The sequence below is a fragment of the Homo sapiens genome, chromosome 2 (genome assembly GCF_000001405.40).
Source record: "Homo sapiens chromosome 2, GRCh38.p14 Primary Assembly".
NCBI classification, from domain to species: Eukaryota; Metazoa; Chordata; class Mammalia; order Primates; family Hominidae; genus Homo; species Homo sapiens.
The window spans coordinates 131,144,066-131,165,621 of NC_000002.12; the positions used below are offsets into that span (position 1 = coordinate 131,144,066).

A 21,556-nucleotide genomic window follows, 5' to 3' on the forward strand; every position below is an offset into this window, starting at 1 on the left:
AAATGGGTTTGTGGTCGATACACAGCAGCTTGTGTTGACAACCAGATGGGTGCTTTGCCACCTCCATGCCATCCTGTCTGCCAGGGTCTCACTGCCTAGAGCTAGTCCACAAGAACCCTCCTAGTCATGCACAGAGCTGGTTAAGGCTCTCTCTTCAGTGTGATTGGGACCAGTGGTTGGTCAGCCAATTGAGAAAGTACAGAGTACTGTAGACGTATTGTAAACATTGTGCTGTGATTTAACCCGCTAGTGGGTGTTCGTTCGGCTCTCCTATAATGTGGGGTTGAGGTGTTTGCTTTGAGTTGGCTCCTTTGGTTGGAGTCTTCTATTTCTGTCTTGTAGAGACCATCCTCATGACACGTCATTGCACTGCAGTTTCCAGGGGTAAGTCCAAGAGCAGACTTCTAGATTTGGGGACTATAGTCCTCCCATCCTCCCATCTTTTATAGTTTTCTTAATTCCCTGATTTGATGGTAATTTGTAAAAGTAACCTTCCTTTATTTAGTTTTTCCTGTAGTATCTTAGTTGCCATAGAAACTGTGTCTGCCTTTTTCTCATTCACATTTTGACCATTTATGTAATATTAGTTAAATTAGGCAATTATAATAAGTGTGACCTGGAAGCATCCACAGCTGACTCTGGCAAGGACTGAGCTCAATGCAGGAGCAGAGCTCAGCAGGAGCCACAAGAGAGTGGCCTGGTCCTGCAGCCAGGGGACCTCAGCATGACTTGCAGGGGCATCAGAATGTAGATTTTCCATGGGACCTTTTCATTAGGTCAGCTCACAAGTTCTATTGTGTTACATTTGGCTAGTTGGAGTTAACATTACTGAGCATTTTAAAATGTCAGGGCTGTGAAAGTAAATGCCGTAATTCCCTAGTTTTGAAATTTAAACATTGCAAAAATAATCACTTGCTTCCAGTACTGTTACCTGTACCAGATCAGCCCTTAGATTTACGATGGTTTCATTGTACTACTCTGTGCCTTTTGAGTTTTGTCATTCATCATCCTCTGTTGTATTTGAGGCATTAGTGGGTATAAATGCATACTGTAGCCAGAGTGCCTGGGTTTGTGTGCCCTTACTGTCCTTAACTGCTGTGTGCCTCAGTTTGCCCATCTGCAAAATAGGGATAAAAGTGCACTCAGTTGAGTAAGAGCATTCCAATGTATGTAGTGCTGTAAGTGGCTGGAAATGTTCACCTTTGTTACCACTGCGGGTTTCACTTCTGCTCTTCATCCACATGTGCACATCACTAGTGACTAGTTTTTTTTCTTTTCTTTTTTTGTGTGTTTGAGACAGAGTTGCACTCTGTTGCCCAGACTGGATTGCAGTGACAGGATCTCAACTCACTGCAGCCCCCGCCTCCCAGGTTCAAGCAATTTTCATGCCTCAGTATGGGATTACAGGCATGCGCCACTACCCCTGGCTAATTTTTTTTTGGTAATTTTTTAAGAGACAGGGTTTCACTGTGTTGGCCAGGCTGGTCTAAAACTTCCGGCCTCAAGTGATCCACCTGCCTCAGCCTCCCAAAGTGCTGGCATTACAGGTGTGAGCCATCAAGCCTGGCCAGCCAGCCTTTGAACCATTAAAGGAATAGAGGATCAAGGAGGAAAGTTAACGCTATTAATACCTGAGCAGTTTGAAAGCTACTTAGCTACTAGGCATTATAGCTGTGAAGCATGGAAGAGAGCAAACAGTATATTTCCAGTTGTAAATTTTAATCTTGCAAATTAAATACTAAATTTGTCTGTGGTTTGTTTTTTTGAAGTTTTCACCTCTAACATAAATATTTATTTTTTCTCTATAAAGACATGCAGTAAAAAAGAGTAGGCCGGGCCGGGCGTGGTGGCTCATGCCTGTAATCTCAGCACTTTGGGAGGCCGACGCGGGTGGATTACGAGGTCAGGAGATCGAGACCATCCTGGCTAACACGGTGAAACCCCGTCTCTACTAAAAATACAAAAAATTAGCCAGGCGTGGTGGTGGGCGCCTATAGTCCCAGTTACTCAGGAAACTGAGGTGGGAGAATAGCTTGAACCTGGGCGGTGGAAGTTGCAGTGAGCTGAGATCATGCCACTGCACTCCAGCCTGGGGACAGAGCAAGACTCCTTCTCAAAAAAAAAAAAAAGTTATATGTGCAGATTTAAGGCTTAATTTAAAAATTGGTTTGCGTGCATACTAAGAAGCTCATTTGCTTTAAGTGAGCATTTCCTTTTTGGGCTTTTGTTGGGCACTGTGTGTCTCCCATGTTCCCCATTTGTCTGCCACCCAATAAGCATGGTGTCGAGGGCTGAAGTAGAAATCAGAGGCTAGAATCTGAAAGCTTCATTAGGGTTCTGCTTTTTGCAGATTAGGGACTTTGGCCCTTAGTGAGCTGAGGATCTTGGTTTCCTCCCAGTGTGCGGTTTCAGGGATGTCGGCCACATGATGTGCCTGTTGTGGAGGAGGGCTGGGTCGCCAGTGTGACAGGAGACAGCAGATCCCTTTTGTGAAAGGAGAACTGGTACTTTGCGTGATGTTAAACTTCACAAACCGCTGCTCAGAAATCTGCTATTTTCCTTCTCTTTTAGGACTTTATGGACAGCAGCCTGCTAACCAAGTCATCATTCGAGAGCGCTATCGAGACAACGACAGCGACCTGGCACTGGGCATGCTGGCAGGAGCAGCCACGGGCATGGCCTTAGGGTCTCTATTTTGGGTCTTCTAGGGGCCTCAAGGTCTTGATGTGCATAGCTTCTGATAACCCTGTGTGCAATAATATGATTTGCAGGGCATTTCTGTTTGTGACAAAAGTTTTTAATAATAGTTTTAATCATTCCTTTGAAAGTAGTGATGTCATAATTGTACTAATCCACATAAGTACCACAGAGAAGGGTTTGAACTGTGCTATTTTGTTCAAATGTTGACTCTCCGGGGGCACTGGCTCATTCCAAGACTGTTCTTGTGCAACTCTCAGAATACCTTATTTGAGCATACCTGTTTTGAAAGGCATTTTCTTTTTAGAGTTAGGTGTAGTGCTTAAGGGTTAATTTATTTTCATGTTATGCCAGTAATATAGTGTTGTATGCCTATTGAGTGATTGTGGCAAGAAAAGCTACAGCTTCTTTGCGTTTAACTTTTTCAAACCACAGACCAGAACTGGTTGCATGTTACTTTAGGAGTTGTGGGTTGGTAAGCTCCCAGGTACTTCCCGAGGCTATGGTGTGAGAGCCCCCGTCCTGCCCTCTGGGGCTCCACAGGCCCCTGGCAAGGCCGATGGCTCAGGATGATGGGGCACAGCCCGCCTTTGAACAATCATGCTTCAGAAATCTGCCTGACCCTAGCTGCTGCTGCTGCTCACTTTATTCTTGTATGGCTTTGGTAGGCATACTTGGAGAACATATCCCACATTAGGAATTGATTTAAGCCTGAGAGTTTGAGGGCTTTAATCCTTTAAAACTTGGAGAAGCTGGCTGGGCGCGGTGGCTCACGCCTGTAATCCCAGCACTTTGAGAGACCGAGGCGGGCGGATCACGAGGTCAGGAGATCGAGACCATCCTGGCTAACACGGTGAAACCCCATCTCTACTAAAAATACAAAAAATTAGCTGGGCGTGGTGGCAGGCGCCTGTGGTCCCAGCTACTCGGGAGGCTGAGGCAGGAGAATAGTGTGAACCCAGGAGGCGGAGCTTGCAGTGAGCCAAGATAGTGCCACTGCACTTCAGCCTGGGTGACAGAGTGAGACTCTGTCTCAAAAAAAAAAAAAAAATCCTGGAGAAGCCAGAACAATATACAAACAAGTATGTGGAGGCAGATTTGCTTTATTCCAAGAGGCTGTTTGAGTGTGTGTCTGCCTAAGCCTCCTTATAGCCTATTTTTCTACTTGCTGAGAGAGTAATATTAAAGGAACAGTGAGGGAGTGGAAGGAGAGCCTTAGTTAGAGCGTTCCCATTTCTGGCCTTTGGGGGTTTGCACTGTGCGGGAGATGCTCTCTCATCACTCTGAAGGCCCATCCTGTGCAGAAGTGGGACTCTGTGGCTGTTCACTGAGCACCAGGGCAGACTGTAGCTGAGCAGACTTGGGTTATGGATGGGATATGGGGCCCAGGGACCCTCAGGACACAGGGACCGGCTCAAGGTACCACTCAGCCTGGCCAGGACCCCCAGCTTTGCTTTTGTTCTTGATCTCTTTGTGATAGAGAAGCTTAGAACATTGAATTTGGAACCCCAAAATGTGTGAGTCTTTGGAAAACCCATTCCAGCCTTTCTTCAAATGCTCTTATTTTCAGTATATGAAGTGTGTATTTGAAATATTCATATTTCTGTTATTTCTTGTTTTCAAGCTCTGAATTATTGCAGTTTTCTGTCCTGCATGCTTTCAACAGTGTGCTTTTACAGTGGCAGTTTAGCACAGCGAATGTCCCTGCCCCACACTCCATATGGTCCTGTTTTCCTGAAAATACACTCCAGGTAGCACAGACTTGTTATTTTGCCTGGCTGGTTACACACATGCTGTCTTGCTTTGCTGCTCAGCCACCTCCCTCTGAGGCCAACTTAGGCCAACCTACATAGGACTCCATCTTTAGCGAGACACCAGAGACACCTAGTGATGACCACGGGTCTGCTTTTCTCTCTGATCCTAGGGGACTTGTTGACATGGGAGTGTCTGTTTCCACATGGAAGGATGTCTGTTTATCTCTCATCTCTGAATAGATGTATGACAACTCTAGTGTCCATGGTTTAAAATGTTGCTTTGAGGATTTTCCATCCTGTATAAGAAGAATGGCTTTCTTCAGATTATAATCGTTATTAAAGCTGTATGTACACTTTACTTAAAAACTATTAACAGTTTTTCATGTTGCACTGGTGGTAATTTTGAACTTGGAATTACTGGGTGGGAATTCCAGGAACCACAGAGTATTGATTTTTGCTGCCAAAATGCTCTTGAAGCAGATGTCCCTGTGCTCCCCTGGCTGCTTCTGGCTGAAGGGGGGAGGTGTAGACTGAAGCTTGGGCACTCATGTGTGTCCCCTCCCCAGTCCCCATCCTAGTGGGGCCAGTCTCATTAGGCAGCCATAGATAAGCCTGGAACTTGGCTGTCATTAGTGACTTGATCCTGGTATGAAATGCATACTGGGTATAAGGTTGCTCAGGTATTTTATTTCCTTGGCCACAACTCCCATAGATGCCAATGTTTTGATAGCCTCAGTTTCTCAACGATGTCTTTTGTTTACAGTGCTACACTTAGTGTGAGTCAAGAAGTGCTTGAGTTACAAGAAACTTCTTATTCAGGTTTGAGTAAGCATTTTACTTCCATGTGTACTTTTAAATAATCCATACCTTGAAGAAGTTGGCCAATGATATTATATACATGCTGATCTGATTGTTCTTTTCATTCCTTGAGTCAACTTCAGGGTCTTGGATACTAAAGAGAAGGAGAACTGTGGTTAATGTTTTGGATCATCATTTGTGAACAAGGCCAGACTTTGCCCATTTTAGGCTATCCAGGACTTAAGGTAGCCATCTGGATCATAAGAAGGTCCTGCAGTTGAGACAAAATGACCCAAGTGTATTTTCCACAAGTTTTGATCCTGTGTAATATTTCTTTTTCCTTCCCTAGTGTATGTAGATACAAGGCATGGAATGCAGTTCCACTTTCTCCCCAGAGTTGATCTTTTTGTGATTGCTTTCCCGTCTCTAGTAGTATTCTGTTGTGTCTAGAGAACTGATTTTTTCCTACATACGCAAATTGTACATTTGTAAGTGAAAATGTCAATACATTAAAGCATTAACCTTAAAGCATGTTTCATTGTGACTTCTGTTGTCTTTAAAAAATTACTTTGTAGTAACATACTCTCAGCTTTTTCTGCTGTCCTGGATCATAAGAATGCCATTTATTGAGGACCTACCAAATGCTAGTATATTGTCACATTAGAGACAACTCACTGAATTCTTAGTGACTCTGTAAGGGAGGTATTATCCAAGTTCCACTGGAGGGACCGAGGCTCAGAAGTTAAATAATTTACTCAGGAGCGTGCAGGTAGTAGGTCTCCACATCTGATGTTAAAACGCCTTGTTGTTCCCTGTGCCGTGTGCATATGAGAATTTGATTTCCACAAACAGCAGTGGCCCGTGCAGTCACACTCTTGGGATGGCTGTGAGAAAACGGACACTATTTTTCCCAACCAGATCCCTCTGGCAGTGTGTGTCCAATAACTTCTCCAGCATCTTTGGATATATGACTTTTTTGTTTTATTTATTTATTTATTTATTTATTTATTTATTTAGAGACGGAGTCTCACTCTGTTGCCCATGCTGGAGTGCAGTGGCGTCATCTCGGCTCATTGCAAGCTCTGCCTCCTGGGTTCACGCCATTCTTCTGCCTCAGCCTCCCAAGTAGCTGGGATTACAGGTGCCCGCCACCACACCTGGCTAATTTTTTGTATTTTTAGTAGAGATGGGGTTTCACCATGTTAGCCAGGCTGGTCTCAATCTCCCGACCTCATGATCCGCCCGCCTTGGCCTCCCAAAGTATTGGGATTACAGGAGTGAGCCACCACGCTCGACCGAAAAGCTCTATTTCTTGTTCAAGTCGCAGTCCATTGTGGGTTCATAAGGGATGAGAGGCTTCTGCTCCAGGCTGTCATTCAGGGACCAAAACTGCTTTTATCTCTTTGCCTTGGAATCTGCTGTGGGAACTTATACAACCTGCTGGAAGAAAAGACAGTGAAGACACACCCATCCTCAGCTCTGGAGTGGCGCTCCCCTTCCAGTGGTGAGGGCTAATCATGTGGCCTGGGCTCAGTGCTTGAGGTCTGGGAAGTATCGTCTGAACCCAGGAAGAAATGGCCCTCGCCTCAGCTGCTGATAACAGGCCGTAGTTAATGACAGATCATGATCATCAAGTATCGCCAATTCTCGGTGGAAGTTGGGTTTGTATTTACTTTGTACAGTTTTTACTGATTAATAAAGCCAGTGGTTGCAAATTACAAGCAAATTGTTAGTTCACACAACACAAATGTCATTTGGTCACTGATATTTTCGTTGCTGTTAAATCGTTTCTTTCCCCACTTACCAACTGTTGTGGATGGGCCTAGAGAAGATATTCACCCTTTCCAGCAAGGAATATAGTTCCTCCATCCATTTGTCCTTTATTACATTACAGTCATGCTGAGGATGACTGCGTTATTGCCCCTGGTTGTCCTGCTCCCCCTTCCCTGTGAGCGGCCTATAAGTTCCTGCCTGGTGCTGAGAGCCTGCCCATGCCATCTTGCCCACCGGAGGAACAGAGTCCAAGCCTAGCGGGTGGTGTGCCATGCCTGGGGGAAGGGGGTGTGAGTGTGTCATGTTTGAGCAGGTGCTGTAGGAAGCAGAGGGGGCTTCTCCAGCCTTCTCATCCTTTTCACCACTGCAGGAGCTGTCCCTCCTCTGTGGTCCCAGATAAGACTCATGGGGCAGAGCCTTCACAGCTGCCCCTCAGGGGCTCCATGTCACGGAAGGCAGGGGGAGCATTGTTTGCCGTACAGTAAAGCTGACCAGGATGAGCTGCCGCTGGGTGCTGTGCCAGGTGAGGGGGCACAGCAGTCAGCGAGACCATACTTGGGGAGGGGGACAGTGCTCCCACTGCCCAGGCCTCACCAGAGCAAGGGGTCCAGATAACACCACACCACGTGGGGTCCCAGGGTCGGGGCTTGCCCTTCTGAGCCTTTTCATGTCTGTGAATGGCTGGAGGGAAGGGGGTGATACCAAGCCCACAGGGCTGGTAGAGGACTAAGTGACCTGAGTGTGCAGGAAGGCCGAGCACGGTGCTGGGCACACTGAGTCCTCTGCAGATTTGACCCTCTGTTCCTCTTTTCCTGAGCTTCTCTTCTGTTATTTGTAAAACTGGGTGACAGTTCGTGTCTCCATTGCCCTCAAAGGTGAGACCACTCACTTCTTGTTCTCATGGCCAAGGAAGGCCCTGCCACGCCTGAGCTTTGCAGGTGGGAAGGGCTTCCTCTGCCCCTCCAGGGAATGTAAACATGGAGTCTTGGCATTTCTGTGTTCCCCGGACCTTTTATTAGTCTTTGCATAATCCCCCACTTTTACTCTTCTTGCAGAACTTTCTCCCTTCAACCACTAACCTAAGCTGGTGGAGGTGGGGGTAATGAGGCATGGTGGCAGTGATGCCTGGCCTGAGCCATCACCGGGCATTTACCAGCTGCATGCTCTGGGGGGCGGCTCGCCGCTGCGTTTCCCCTTTTGTTTACGACAGGTACAGTAGGAGCACCCTGAAGGACTGTGATGTGCATTCACTGAGTCAGCACAGATGGGAGGCATGGAGAGTGGTGCTGGGAACCTTTGTAACTACTGACAATAAATGTTTCTTATGATGCAGGCTTACAGATGAGGGACAGATGTGGTGTACCCTGAGGCACCTGGGTAGGCCTGAGGTCCTGCCTGGCTTGGTGGCTGGCTCTGGGACCTGTGGGACCCCAGCAGGCAGGGAGGAGGCAGTGTGGGCTGGGCTGGGGCAGAGGCTACTCTGCCACCTTGCTCTCATTTTACCTGGTATTGGGGGCACAAGTTGGCCACCTTGCCAAGGTCTTGGGAATCCTGAGGTCCAAACTCCAGTGGACAGGAGCAGGTTAGAAATGCATATTCCTGGTCGGGCGCAGTGGCTCACAGCTGTAATCCCAGCATTTTAGAAGGCCGAGGTGGGCGGATCACAAGGTCAGGAGACAGAGACCATCCTGGCTAACACAGTGAAACCCCGTCTCTACTAAAACTACAAAAAATTAGCCGGGCACGGTGGTGGGCGCCTGTAGTCCCAGCTACTCAACGAGGCTGAGGCAGGAGAATGGCGTGAACCTGGGAGGCGGAGTTTGCAGTGAGCTGAGATTGCGACACTACAGCCTGGGCGATAGAGCAAGACTCCATCTAAAAAAAAAAAAAAAAAAAAAAAAAAAGAAATGCATATTCCTGGGACTTAAAGCCACAACGTCCTGAGGGGGTCTCGGGTGGCCCGAGTCTGCATTTCCACCTGCCCTCAGGTGATTCTGTGCAGCCTTGACTCCCCTGGTCTTGGCCTCCAAGGCCTGCCCTTTCTGAGGCCTCTGCCTTCCTCTCTCCTCTCCCTCCCTGCTCAACTCACTGATGTCCACTGAGCTGCTGGACAGGCGTCCCCTCCTCTAGGAGGCCTCCTGGCCTTCCCTCCAGCTCAGCACGATGCTGAGGAGCGACACTGGACAGTACGGCCTCCTCCCCTCCTGTGGTGCTGCTGAGTCCAGGGACAGTCACTGGCCAGTGGGAGGCAGGAAGGGGCCCAGCACTGGCTTTGCATGGCTCTCTGGGCGTGCCCCTGCCTGGGAAGTGGGAATCAGGTGAGAGGCACCTCCTCCTGGGCCCCAGGAGAGCTGGCAGCTCCATCAGACCCTCCACTGCTATGTCATCAGAATGACATTTCTCAAACAGGGTCACCTCCAAAGGGCAGTGAGCTAGGTGCTCCTAGGTAGCACCCCAGGCAGGCCCTGCCCAGTTCTTTCACTAACCTGTCAGAGGCCAGGTGAGCAGCTTGTGTGTTCCTGGTTCAGTCCCCTGGCAGGCGTGCTAGGCAGGGCCCATTCTCAGGAGCCGTCTTGCCTACCTGGTGCAGACACACCCAGGCTATGACCTGCTCAACAGATGTGCAGCAGGGACCCCTAGGGAGGACTCTGGGGCTGCACTGAATTCAAATCTTTATCACTTCTGTGGGCATGGATGTGGATAGCGTGGGAACGTGGCCTCTCTAGCCTCAGTGGCCTCCTTTATAAGGAAGGTATAGTAATAACAGTACCACCCAGTAGGCACCCAGTAGGAGCAGAGACATCCCTCCATTCCTTTCCCAGACCCATGGCTTGGTCCCAGACCAGCAGCACAGCAGCCTCTGGGAGCCTCTTAGAAATGCTGATTTTCCAGCAGTTCTGGATCTCCCAAGTCAGTGACAGCCCTCAGGGTGATGCCATTACAGGTTCAAATTTGAGGACCACTGGTCTAGAATGGACTCCCTCTCTCCCACTCCCCCTTTCTCTCTCCCCCTTCCTGCGCTCACTCCTGCTCAACGGCACTTCCTCTGTGCAGCTGCTAGTTCTGAGGGCTGCCACCAGGTGTCAGGGCAGCCTCAGGAATGTTCCGGCTGCCACACCTCCCTCGCCAGCCTGGCCCCTGCTACATCTCAGGAGAGGTCCTGAGAGGGTAAAGGGCTTCTGAGCTTCTCACAGGATGAATGCTTCCCTGTGCTTTTCTGACTGCTCAGGGTGAGTCATCTGGGCCCGAAGGTGGCAGATATGTCAGCGTCCTGTGTGGTGGGGACAGGGACAGCCCCACAGCACCTAGTGGGATGTTGTGAGATTTGCGGGGCACGCCCAACTCCTCCTCTACTACTGCCGAGTCCTCACTGTCTTATTCTGCCCTAGGAGGCTTCTCCAACCACCCTGCTCTGTCCCCATTGTGACTCCTGGCCACGGCCTCTGACCCTCCACCCAGTCCCGTCGTCACGGTGGGGCCTCCGAAGGCCTGTCCTGCTGTGCCAATGCTGAGGCCGACTTTGGGCTATTGGTCCAGGCCCTGCCCGGCCCTGTAACTACACGTCCCTAACCGCCACCACAGGCTTGGTGGACCAAAAGCCTCCTACTGAACACAGCCCAGCAGGCTTTGCCCACAGTCCCCTCCCAGCTTGCCCACTCCAGCTCCCCTGAGTTCAAGGCCAGCCCACACCCCCGGACGCACTGGACACCCTCCCGGGCGCCGGTGGAGGAGGCTGAGTAGGGCAGGCAAGGTCTCTGCCTGCAGCCACACCAACCCAGCCGCTATCCTCCCAGCGGGGCTGGGCAGAGCATCGGGAGGACTGCCCGGGTCGCGGAAGGGCGTGCGCTGGATTCCAGGCGAGGAGCTGCTGTGCGAGGCCCGCAGGCGGGCTCAGGCGGGAGTGGCTATGGGCCGTGGGCTGCGAGGGCAGAGAACTTTGGAAAGCGATTTGGGGATGGCAGCTGTGTGGCCACACCGCGGGAGCCCTTGAGATGGCTGGCTGCAGGGCGGCTATCGGGTGGGGGGAAGTGATTTCTGGCAGAGCTCCTGGGCCTTGTGCGGGGGTGCTCGTAGGTGATGCTGTGGGGCAGAGACTTAGGAGTGTGGTTGTGAAGGGCGAGATTTCTGCTGAACATCCGAGTGGGAATGTCCGGAGGTCAGTTCAGAGGCCTGGGCACAGTAGCAACAGAGGGCGCGGGGGCAAGGCGGGTTGGGCACGTGGAGGGCATCGGTGTCCCTGCCACGTTTCAGTGGAAAGCCGAGTGAACTGGAGTTGGGGATGGGGGAGGCCGTGAGTCCAGTTCCCTGCACCTTCTGGAGCCTCCCTCCCCAGACCCCTCCTGACAGGGGCTGGGCCTCTCCCAGGGGGCCTCGCGCAGCTCCGGCCCTGAGCATAGGCGCGGTGGAGGCTGAGGGTCCAGCCCCTCGAGGTCCGCGCCCGCTACTTCCGCTCTCTGCGGGGCTGTCCTTCCCTCATCGGTGTCCGCTGCGGCCCTGCGGCCGGCCCGGCAGCACGAGGGAGCCAGGGGGCACGGTCCTGCCCTCAGGAGGCTCCACGTGGACACTGCGCAGCTGGCCTTGAGGCACGCGCGTGCGTGTTCATGTGTGCGTGCGTGCATGTGCGTGCTTGTTCATGTGTGCGTGCGTGTGCGCGTGCGCGCGCTCTTTGCCCCCACACCGTCACTCCTGCACCCTGCATCTAATGTCCAGAGAGGTGATTATCATCTCCACTCCCAATTCACACCTGGCCCTGAGTCAGCTACATGAGTGGTCCAGGCCTGGCTGTCCTGGGTCTTGTGTGCCACGTGGCACAACACCGGGTCTGTAAGAGAAGCCGTGCCACCAGCCTTGGGAGGCAGCGCCTGCTGGGTGGGGTCTCCAGAGGAGAGCTCCAGAGAGAGAAAGGCCGAGCTGCCTCCACCTCCCCCAAAATCCTCCCTGAACCTCAGCAATCACGTCTGTAAATGGGACAATGACAGCGTCAGCCTTAGAGAGTTGCTGGAGTGAGGAACGAACACACACGGGACCACTTAGAAGACTGTTGGGCGCAGAGCTCTCAGGGCTGCTCTGAGGACCACGTTTACAGATGAGGACTCAGAGCGGGAGATGCCAGTACAGCAGGGGCTCTCAGCCACCCTCTCCCAGAGGCAGGTCCCAACGGACCTTGGTGCCAGCTTGGACGCTACGCTCAGCAGTTGTGGAGTTGATTAATAACATTCTGTCCCACATTCGCGGATTGGAAAGTAATGCCTGATTAAGACCCTAAGCATGTCACTTGTGGCAAACACTCAGGCTATCTTCGAGGGGGCAGCATTGACTTCAGGGCTGAAGTCTTGGCTGGTTTTCCTGGGACACACCTTGAAGGCAGCAGAAGCCCTGCTACCATGAAACAGGAAAGGCCAAGGAGTTTGTGCTGGTCCTCAGGCCCTCAGCCCCTAGGAGGCTGGAGGTGGAGACTGGCCCTTAGGCGGTGGCACCATGCCTGAGCATGAGGGGACACCTGGGGCACCCTGTGAGGTGGGGGCAGAAGGGTGGAAGGCTGCGGGGAGGTGGGGGTGGACCGGCTGCAGACAGAAGAGCTACACTTTCAGTTTCTGTTTCCTCCAAATTACTGATCAAACCCCCTGGGGTGCTGTGGCCGCACCATGCTCCAAGCCCTGTCCTGGAGGGTTTCCTTCAGTGGGCCTGGGCCATGGGTTTCAGCAGAATGTGAGGATGAGCTGAGCTAGGAGTGGGTGTGGGCACCAGGCTGGCCTTGTTCTGCCATGTGCACCGGCCGTTCTCTCTCAGCAGCCCCAGGCCACACAGCAGGGACGGCAGGAGCGGGGTTTTCTGAGGCCGGTGTAACTCCAGAGCCTGCCCTCCTCACCTCATGCAGCCGGTGGACATGAGGCCAGCCCTCTGCTGGCCAGGCCCGGGCCTGCTGGATGGGCACAGCACCCCTGGGGAGGTTGGGGGTGGGGACATTCATTCACTTTAGCCATGGAAGGGAGACCTGCCTTAGCGGTCCTTGTGTTGTGTGGAGGCTGTGACCAAAAGTAAAGTGAGGGCCTCTTTGTGCAGGGTCTTAGGGCATTCTGCATTCATTCATTCCCTTAGTCCCTCATCAAACATGCCCTGAGCAACTAACTGCTCCACACCTGGTCCTGGGCTGGGCATGGCCAGGCTCTAGGAGCTTGTCTGGTAGCTGTGCATGAGTCAGAAAATGGAGCCCCTTCCTCTAGTGAATCTCCTTGTGCCGGGTGATGGGCTGGAAGCAGAGTGCACCTGGACTGACCCCATCCCCGCTGGACCTCTGCCAGGCATTTTTGCTCCCTAAACAACGCCACAGCCACATGAGGCACCGCGGGCAGTCGGGCCTCCTATAGCCAGGCCCTTGGCTGTGGCCTGTCATCTAGGGGCTGTCCCATCCCCTAGTAGGATCCACACTTAGGGACTCTGCTCCATCGTGCTCAGGAGCTCCCACCACCACGTGGCCCAGCCGCCCACACCTCCACCTGTGCTCCATTCTTTCCACCTCCTTTATCAACCCCCTGCCCACCTATTGCTTGTGGTTAAGCCCTGCCCTCTTCCTGGCCACATGATGTGCCTGCTCTTGGCCACCCCATGGGCTCCTTGGTGACTGTGCCAGTTCAGTGCCCCTCCTGGATCTCCTGGCCCAGGAACTCCCCATTGAATGTGCCTTCACAGCTTTCCGTCAGTCCAGCCTTGCTCTGCTCAGGGATTGTGAATGCAGAGATCTGGGCCAGTTTTGAGGGTGTAGTGTGGTGGACACCTCCCACACTGCCATCTATCGGGAGGGCAGCTTGACAGTATGTATTGAAATCCTTAAAAATGTGCATACTCTGACCATGTCCTTATGGGTATCCATCTCAAAAAAGATAACCCCAAAAGGGAAAAATGTCTCCTACACAAAGTTGCTCATCATGCATACCTAGCTGAAAATTGTTAACATCTTAAATGTCCAATAATGGGAATAAAGTAAATCATGGCACAAAGAATCATTTCAGAACTAATGGAAGTAAATGAAGACCATGAAGATCATAACGGCTGAGTGAAAAACAATCAGGTGAGTGGTGCTATGCATATTAGCATAAGGAGCTGAATGCTCCCCGGGGAAGCTCCAAGAAGGATGCGGCACTGCTCACACTGTGATCGCTCACCTCCACAGCTGTAAATAGTAAATAAATGTGTTGTTTTAAGGCACTACATTTGTGATAATTTGCCACAGCAGTAACAGGGAACTAATGCATTAGGTAAGAGTCAATTTATTGGCAGGCCAAGGTGGACTGATTGCTTGAGCTCAAGAATTGGAGACCAGCCTGGGAACATGGCAAAACCCCATCTCTACAACAAATACAAAAAATTAGCCAGGTGTGGCGGCGCATGCCTGCGGTCCCAACTACTACAGATGGAGGCTGAGGTGGGAGGATTGCTTGAACCCAGGAGGCGCAGCCTGCAGTGAGCTCAGATCGCACCACTGAACTCCAGCCTGGGTGACAGGGTGAGACCCTTCCCCCTGCTCCAAAAAAGTGTTCAATTTCTTTAATGGTTCTAGGACCATTCAGATTGATTATTTTATCATGGTTTGAGTTTGGTCATTTGTGGTTTTAGAGGAATTGGTCCATCCCTTTTAAGTTGTCGAATTTGTGAGTGTAAAGTTGTTCCAGATATTCCCTTATTAGCTGTTCAGTGGCGGCGGGAGCAGCAGTCATGGCTCGGCTTCATTCCTGACATGGGTAATTTGTGTCTTTTCTCTTTTGTCAGCTTTTAATAAAGATTTGTTAATTGCTTTTTTCTTTTTTAACTTTTCTTTACTAGAACAGTAGAAACAAACACAAAGCAAGCATGGGAGGGAAATAATGAAGAGGAGAAAATGGGAAATAATGAAGAGGAGAAATCAGTAAGATGAAAATTTCTCCTCTTCATTATTTCCCTCCCATGTTTATTTTGTTTTCCTTTTCCTAGTTTCTTGAGTAGGGACTTTGATTGTTGACTGGACACCTTTCCTCTTTAATTAATGTAAGCATTCAGTGACATAAAAATCTCAACACTGCTTTTGGTATATCCCACATATTTTGATATGTTCTATTTTAATTTTCACTCAGCTCCATGTATTTTTAATTTCCTTTGAGATTTCCCTTTCCACCTATGGATTATTTAGAAGTATGTTGCTTACTTTTTACATGATTAGTTTTTCTGTTTTCTGTCATGGATTTATGGTTTTACTCCATTGTGGTCAGGGAATGTACTCTGCAGTACTCTGTACTTTAAATTTTGTTGAGACTTGTTTTACGGCACAGGACAATGTCGGCCTTGGTGGATGTTTCATAGATGTTTGAAAATAACTTGTAGCTTGCTATTGTTGCATGCAGTGGTTCTGTTGGTTGATTGTGTTGCTCTGATGTCCTCTCCTTGCTGATTTTCTGCGTCAGTTGCTGAGAATAGGATTAACTCAAAATGGATCAAAGACCTAAATTTAAGTGTAAATTTCAATTTATTTTAAAGTGTAGAATTCAGTGGCATTAAGTACATTCAAATGTGGTGCACCTATCACCACTATTCCTGGAACTTTTTCATAACCTCAAACAGTAGCTCTGTATTCATTAAGCACTAAACCCTATTCTATGCTCTCCCCATCCCTAGGTAGCCTCTATTCTACTTTCTGTTTCTATGAATTTGCCTATTCTAGATACCTCATATAAATGGAATCATGCAATATTTGTCCTTTTGTGATTGGCTTATTTCACTTAACCTAATGCCTTCAAGATTCATCCGTAGCAATGTGTCAGAATTTCTTCCTTTTTATGGCTATACCACATTTCGTTTACCCATTCATCTGTTGATAGACATTTGGGTTGTTTCTATCTCTTAGCTATCGTGAATAATGCTGCTATGAACATTGGTGTACAAGTATCTTCTTCAGTTTTTTCTTTTTCTTTTTTTTTTTTTTTGAGACGGAGTTTCACTCTTGTTGCCCAGGCCGGAGTGCAATGGCACGATCTCTGCTCACTACAACCTCCACCTCCCAGGTTCAAGCGATTCTCCTGCCTCAGCCTCCCTAGTAGCTGGGATTACAGGCATGCACCACCACGCCCGGCTATTTTGTATTTTTAGTAGAGACAGGGTTTCTCCATGTTGGTCAGGCTGGTCTTGAACCCCCTACCTCAGGTGATCCGCCCGCCTGGGCCTCCCAAAGTGCTGGGATTACAGGCCTGAGTCACTGCGCCTGGTCTTTTTTCTTTTTTTTTTTTTCTTTTTTTTTTTAGAGATAGGGTCTCATTATATTGCCCAGGCTGGTCTCAAACTCCTGGGCTCAAGCCATCCTCCTGTCTCAGCCTCCTGAGTAGCTGAGATTACAGGTATGTGTCACCACATCCAACTTAGTTCTTTTGAGTACATACCTAGAGGTGAGATTTCTGGGTCACAGAGTAATTCTATGTTCAGCTTTTTAAGGAATGGCCAAACTATTTTCCACAGTGGCTGCACCATTTTAAACTTCTATCAACGTTGCATGCAGGTTCCAATTTCTCCATGTCCTCGCCAACACTGTTATCTTGTTATTTTCCTTTTCCCATTATTTTAATTTTTGTAATAGCCATCCCAGTGAATATGAAGTGGTAACTCAGTGTGATTTAGGTTTGTATTTCCCTAGTGACTGATGAGGTTGGGCATCTTTTCATGTGCTTGTTGTCTATTTGTATATCTTCTTTGGAGAAACGTCTATGCAAATCCCTTGCCCAGTGTTAATTTGGTTGAATTTTTTTGTTCAGCTGTAGGAATTTTTGTATATTCCAGATATTAATCACTTATCAGATACATGATTTGAAACTTTCTGCCATTCTGTGAATTATCTTTTTACTCTGTTGATACTGTAGTTTCCTTTTATGCATAATGTTTTAATTTTGATGGAATCTGATTTATCTATTTTTTCTTTTGCTGCCATGCTTTTGTGGTCATGTTTAAGCAATTATTGCCAAATTCAAGTCATGGGGATTCTTTCCTATTTTTTCCTAAGAATTTTGTAGTTTTAGCTTTTACGTTTAGGTCTTTGATACATTTTGAGTTGATATTTGTATGTGAGGTAAGGTAAGGGTCCAATTTCATTTTTTTGCATATGGATATCTAGTTTTCTCAGTACCATTTGTTAGTAAGACTGTTCCCATTGAATGGTCTTGACAGTATAGTAGAAAATCAATTGAAAATCAATGTGAGGGTTTATTGCTGGGCTTTGTATTCTATTTCATTGGTCTATATTTCTGTCCTTATGCCAGTACCACACTTTTGATTACTGTAGTTTTGTAGTAAGTTTTGAAATCAAGAAATGTGGATCCTCCAAGTTTTCCAAGATTGTTTTAGCTAAATCAGGGTCCTTTGAAATTCCAAATAAATTTCAGAATGGATTTTTCTTTTCTTTTTTTTTTTTTGAGACGGAGGAGTCTTGCTCTGTCGCCCAGGCTGGAGTGCAGTGGCAGGATCTCGGCTTACTGCAAGTTCTGCCCCCTGGGTTCACGCCATTCTCCTGCCTCAGCCTCCTGAGTAGCTGGGACTACAGGCACCCGCCACCATGCCTGGCTAATTTTTTGTATTTTTAGTAGAGACAGGGTTTCACTGTATTAGCCAGGATGGTCTCGATCTCCTGACCTTGTGATCCACCCACCTCAGCCTCCCAAAATGCTGGGATTACAGGCGTGAGCCACCACGCCCGGCCTAGAATGGATTTTTCTAAGCTGCAAAGAAATGCCATTAAGATTTGGATAGAGATTACACAGAATTTTTAGATCACTTTGGGTAGTATTGTCATCTTAACTATATCGAGTTTTCCCATCCGTGAACACAGAATATCTTTCCATTCATTCAAGTCTTCTCTCATTTCTTTCAGCACTCTTTTGTACTTTTCAGAGTACCAGTCTTCTGCCTCCTTGGTTTAATTTATTCCTATTTTAACTTTTGTGGTGTTACTGTAAATGAAATTGTTTTTTAAATTTCCTTTTCAGATTGCTTATTGCTAGTGTGTAGAAATACAACTCATTTATGGGTGTTGGTTTTGCTGATTTAGTTTACTTAGCCCTGTGTGTGTGTGCGCGCTCATGTGAAAGTAATTCTAGGGTTTTCTACATATGTCATCTGTGAAGAGAGATACTTTTACTTCTTCCCTGACAAATTGGTTATCTTTTATTTCCCTTTTTCCCCTAATTGCTCTAGCCGTAACTTTCAGGACTATGTTGAATAGAAGTGGCGAAAGTGGGTTTCATTGTCCTCATCCTGATTGTACAGGGAAATTTTTTGGTCTTTCACCATTAAGTATGATGTTAACTGTTTTTTGTATGTGGACTTTATGTTGCGGACATTCCTTTCTGTTCCTAATTTAATGTTTTTTTTTTATCACGAAAGGGAGTTGGATTTTTTTTCAAATGCTTTTTTTCTGCATTCTGTTCATGGTCCTCTGCTTTATCCTGTTAATATGGGAGTGATTGCTTGATTTTCACATACTGGGCCGCCTTTTCATTCCAGGGATAAATTCCATTTTGTCATGGTGTTTAATCCTTTTATTATGCTGCTGAATTTGCTAGCATTTTGTTGAGGATTTTTGCATCAAAGTTCCTAAAAGACATTGGTCTGTAGTTTTCATTTCATTCATGTCTCCACAGTCAGACAGTATAGTGTCTCTGTCTGACTGTGGTATTAAGATAATGCTGGCTTCATAAGATGAGTTTGGAAATGTTCCCTCCTTTTCATTGTTTTGAAAGATTGTGAGAAGGACTGGTGTTGATTCTCACATAAATGTTTGGTATAATTTAAAAGTAAAGCCATTTCTCCTGGGCTTCTCTTTATTGGGAGGTTTTTGACTTACTGATTCAACCTCCTTACTTTTTATAGGTCTATTCACATTTTCTAACTCTTTTCACATTGGTTTTGGTAGATTTGTACATTTCTAGGAATTTGCCTATTTCACTGGGTTATCCAGTGTGTAGGCATGCAGTTGTTCATTATATTCTCTTATAATCTATCAATTTCTGTATAATCAGTAACAATGTCTCTTCTTTCGTTTATGATTTCAGTAATTTATCCTATTTTTTTCTTAGTAAATATAGCTACAGATTTGCCAATTTTGTTGATCTTTTCAAATAACCAACTTTTGGCTTCATTAATTTTTTTCTATTGTTTTTCTATTCACTATTTCATTAATCTTCACTCTAATCTTTTTTTTTTTTTGCGACAGAGTCTCGCTCTGTTGCCCAGGTTGGAATGCAGTGGCACCATCTCAGCTCACTGCAAGCTCCGCCTCCCGGGTTCACGCCATTCTCCTGCCTCTGCCTCCTGAGTAGCTGGGACTACAGGTGCCCGCCACCAAGCCTGGCTAATTTTTTGTATTTTTAGTGGAGACGGGGTTTCACCATGTTAGCCAGGATGGTCTCGATCTCCTGACCTTGTGATCCACCCGCCTCGGCCTCCCAAAGTGCTGGGTGCGTGAGCCACCGCGCCCGGCCCACTCTAATCTTTTTTATTTCCTTCCTTCTGCTTGGGTTTAGTTTGTTTTCTTTTTTTTTAATTTCTTAAAGTATATAATTAGATTACTGATTTGTAATCCTTCTTCTTTCGTAATGTAGGCATTTACAGCTGTACATTTCCCTCTTAGCCCTGCTTTCATTACATCCCAGAAGTTTTGGTACTTTGTGTTTTCTTTTTCATTAGTATTGAGGGGTTTTCTAATTTCTGTAGTGACTTTTTCTTTGACCCATTGGTTGTTTAAGAATATGTTGTTTAATTTCCACATATTTGTGAGTTTTCCTTCTAAGAATGAGTTCTAGTTTCATTCCACTGTGATCAGACTAAATACTTTATGATTTCAATGTTTTAAAATTTATTATCTTTTTGTGGCTTGTTCTGTAGAATTCACATGAGAAAAAATGTATATTCTGCTATTGTTGAGTGGCGTGTTCTGTCTAATCGATTAGAATGTTGTCAGGCCTCTGTTTCTGTATTGATCTTCTCTCTAGTTGTGCTATCCATTATTTTAAATGAGGTATTGAAGTCTCCAACTATTATAGCATTGTCTTTTTTTCCTTCAATTCTGTTAATTTTTGGTTCATATATTTTGGGGCTCTGCTGCTAGGTGTTTATATTTTATAACTATATCTTTTTGGTGGGTTGAAACTTTTATCAAATGAGTCTTTGTGTCTTGTAACCTTTTTGATTTAAAATCTATTTTTTCTGATTACAGTATGGCCACGCAGCTTTTTCTTTCTAGTTGTGCTATCCATTATTTTAAATGAGGTATTGAAGTCTCCAACTATTATAGCATTGTCTTTTTTTCCTTCAATTCTGTTAATTTTTGGTTCATATATTTTGGGGCTCTGCTGCTAGGTGTTTATATTTTATATCTTTTTGGTGGGTTGAAACTTTTATCAAATGAGTCTTTGTGTCTTGTAACCTTTTTGATTTAAAATCTATTTTTTCTGATTACAGTATGGCCACGCAGCTTTTTCTTTCTTTTTTGAGACTGAGTCTCGCTCTGTCACCCAGGTTGGAGAGCAGTGGCATGATCTCAGCTCACTGCAACCTCCGCCTCCCGGATTCAAGCAATTCCCCTGCCTCAGCCTCCTGAGTAGCTGGGATTACAAGTGTGTGCCACCATGCCCTGCTAAGTTTTGTATTTTTAGTAGAGATGGGGTTTCTTCATGTTGGCCAGGCTGGTCTTGAACTCCTGACCTCAGGTGATCCGGCCGCCTCAGCCTCCCAAAGTGCTGGGATTACAGGAATGAGCCACCGCGCCCGGCCTACTCAGCTTTTTCTATCAGCTCTCTTTTTCCATTGTTTACCTTTGTATTATCTTTTTCCATCATTTTACTTTGAATGTCTTTGTATCTAAATGTTTTATAGGCAGCATATAGATGGATCATGTTTTTATTTATTTATTTTGAGGTGGAGTCTTGCTCTGTTGCCCAGGCTGGAGTGCAGTGGCACAATCTTGGCTCAATGCAACTTCTGCCTTCTGGGTTCAAGCAATTGTCCTGCCTCAGCCTCCTGAGTAGCTGGGATTACAGGTGCCCACCACTACTCCTGGCTAATTTTTTCTATATTTTTAGCAGAGGTGGGGTTTCACCATGTTGGCAAGGCCGGTCTTGAACTCATGACCTCAAGTGATCTGCCTGCAACGATTTCCCAAAGTGCTGGGATTACAGGCATGACCCACCGTCTGCATCATGTTTTTTTAAAAAAATCGAATCTGGGCTGGGTGCAGTGGCTTACGTTTGTAATACCAGCACTTTGGGAGGCTGGGGCGGGCCGATCATGAGGTCAGGAGTTCGAGAGCAGCCTGGCCAACACATTGAAACCCCGTCTCTACTAAAAAAACAAAAATTAGCTGGGCGCAGTGGCAGGCGCCTGTAATCCCAGCTTCTAAGGAGGCTGAGGCAGAAGAATCGCTTGAACCAGGGAGGTGGAGGTTGCAGTGAGCTACGATTGCACCACTGCACTCCAGCCTGGGTGACAGAACTAGAGTCTGTCCAAAAAAAATAAAAAATCTAATC

The 21,556-nt window shown here is 47.3% G+C and overlaps 1 protein-coding gene across 20 annotated transcripts in view, besides 2 other annotated features; it reads left to right on the forward strand.

Moving 5' to 3' along the window:
- The window catches only part of PLEKHB2 (pleckstrin homology domain containing B2), a 44,510-nt gene extending 38,730 nt beyond the window's left edge, over positions 1–5,780 (forward strand). For 14 of the 20 annotated variants that reach the window (NM_001309452.2, NM_001267065.2, NM_001267064.2 and 11 more), the window contains one exon: positions 2,572–5,780. In NM_001309452.2, coding sequence (NP_001296381.1) covers positions 2,572–2,708 — 137 coding nt within the window. In that variant the 3' untranslated portion in view covers positions 2,709–5,780. Of the gene's footprint in view, positions 1–342; positions 385–2,571 lie in introns of all 20 variants that reach the window. The other 6 variants (XM_011511385.4, XM_011511386.3, NM_001267062.2 and 3 more) reach the window with 1 other exon arrangement.
- Positions 10,289–10,558: an enhancer, noted in NCBI's record as "active region_16532". NCBI's record gives its function as "activates an Ori minimal core promoter by ATAC-STARR-seq in GM12878 lymphoblastoid cells {active_cell/tissue: GM12878}" and the evidence as "EXISTENCE:reporter gene assay evidence [ECO:0000049][PMID:35858748]".
- Positions 12,532–12,701: an enhancer, noted in NCBI's record as "active region_16533". NCBI's record gives its function as "activates an Ori minimal core promoter by ATAC-STARR-seq in GM12878 lymphoblastoid cells {active_cell/tissue: GM12878}" and the evidence as "EXISTENCE:reporter gene assay evidence [ECO:0000049][PMID:35858748]".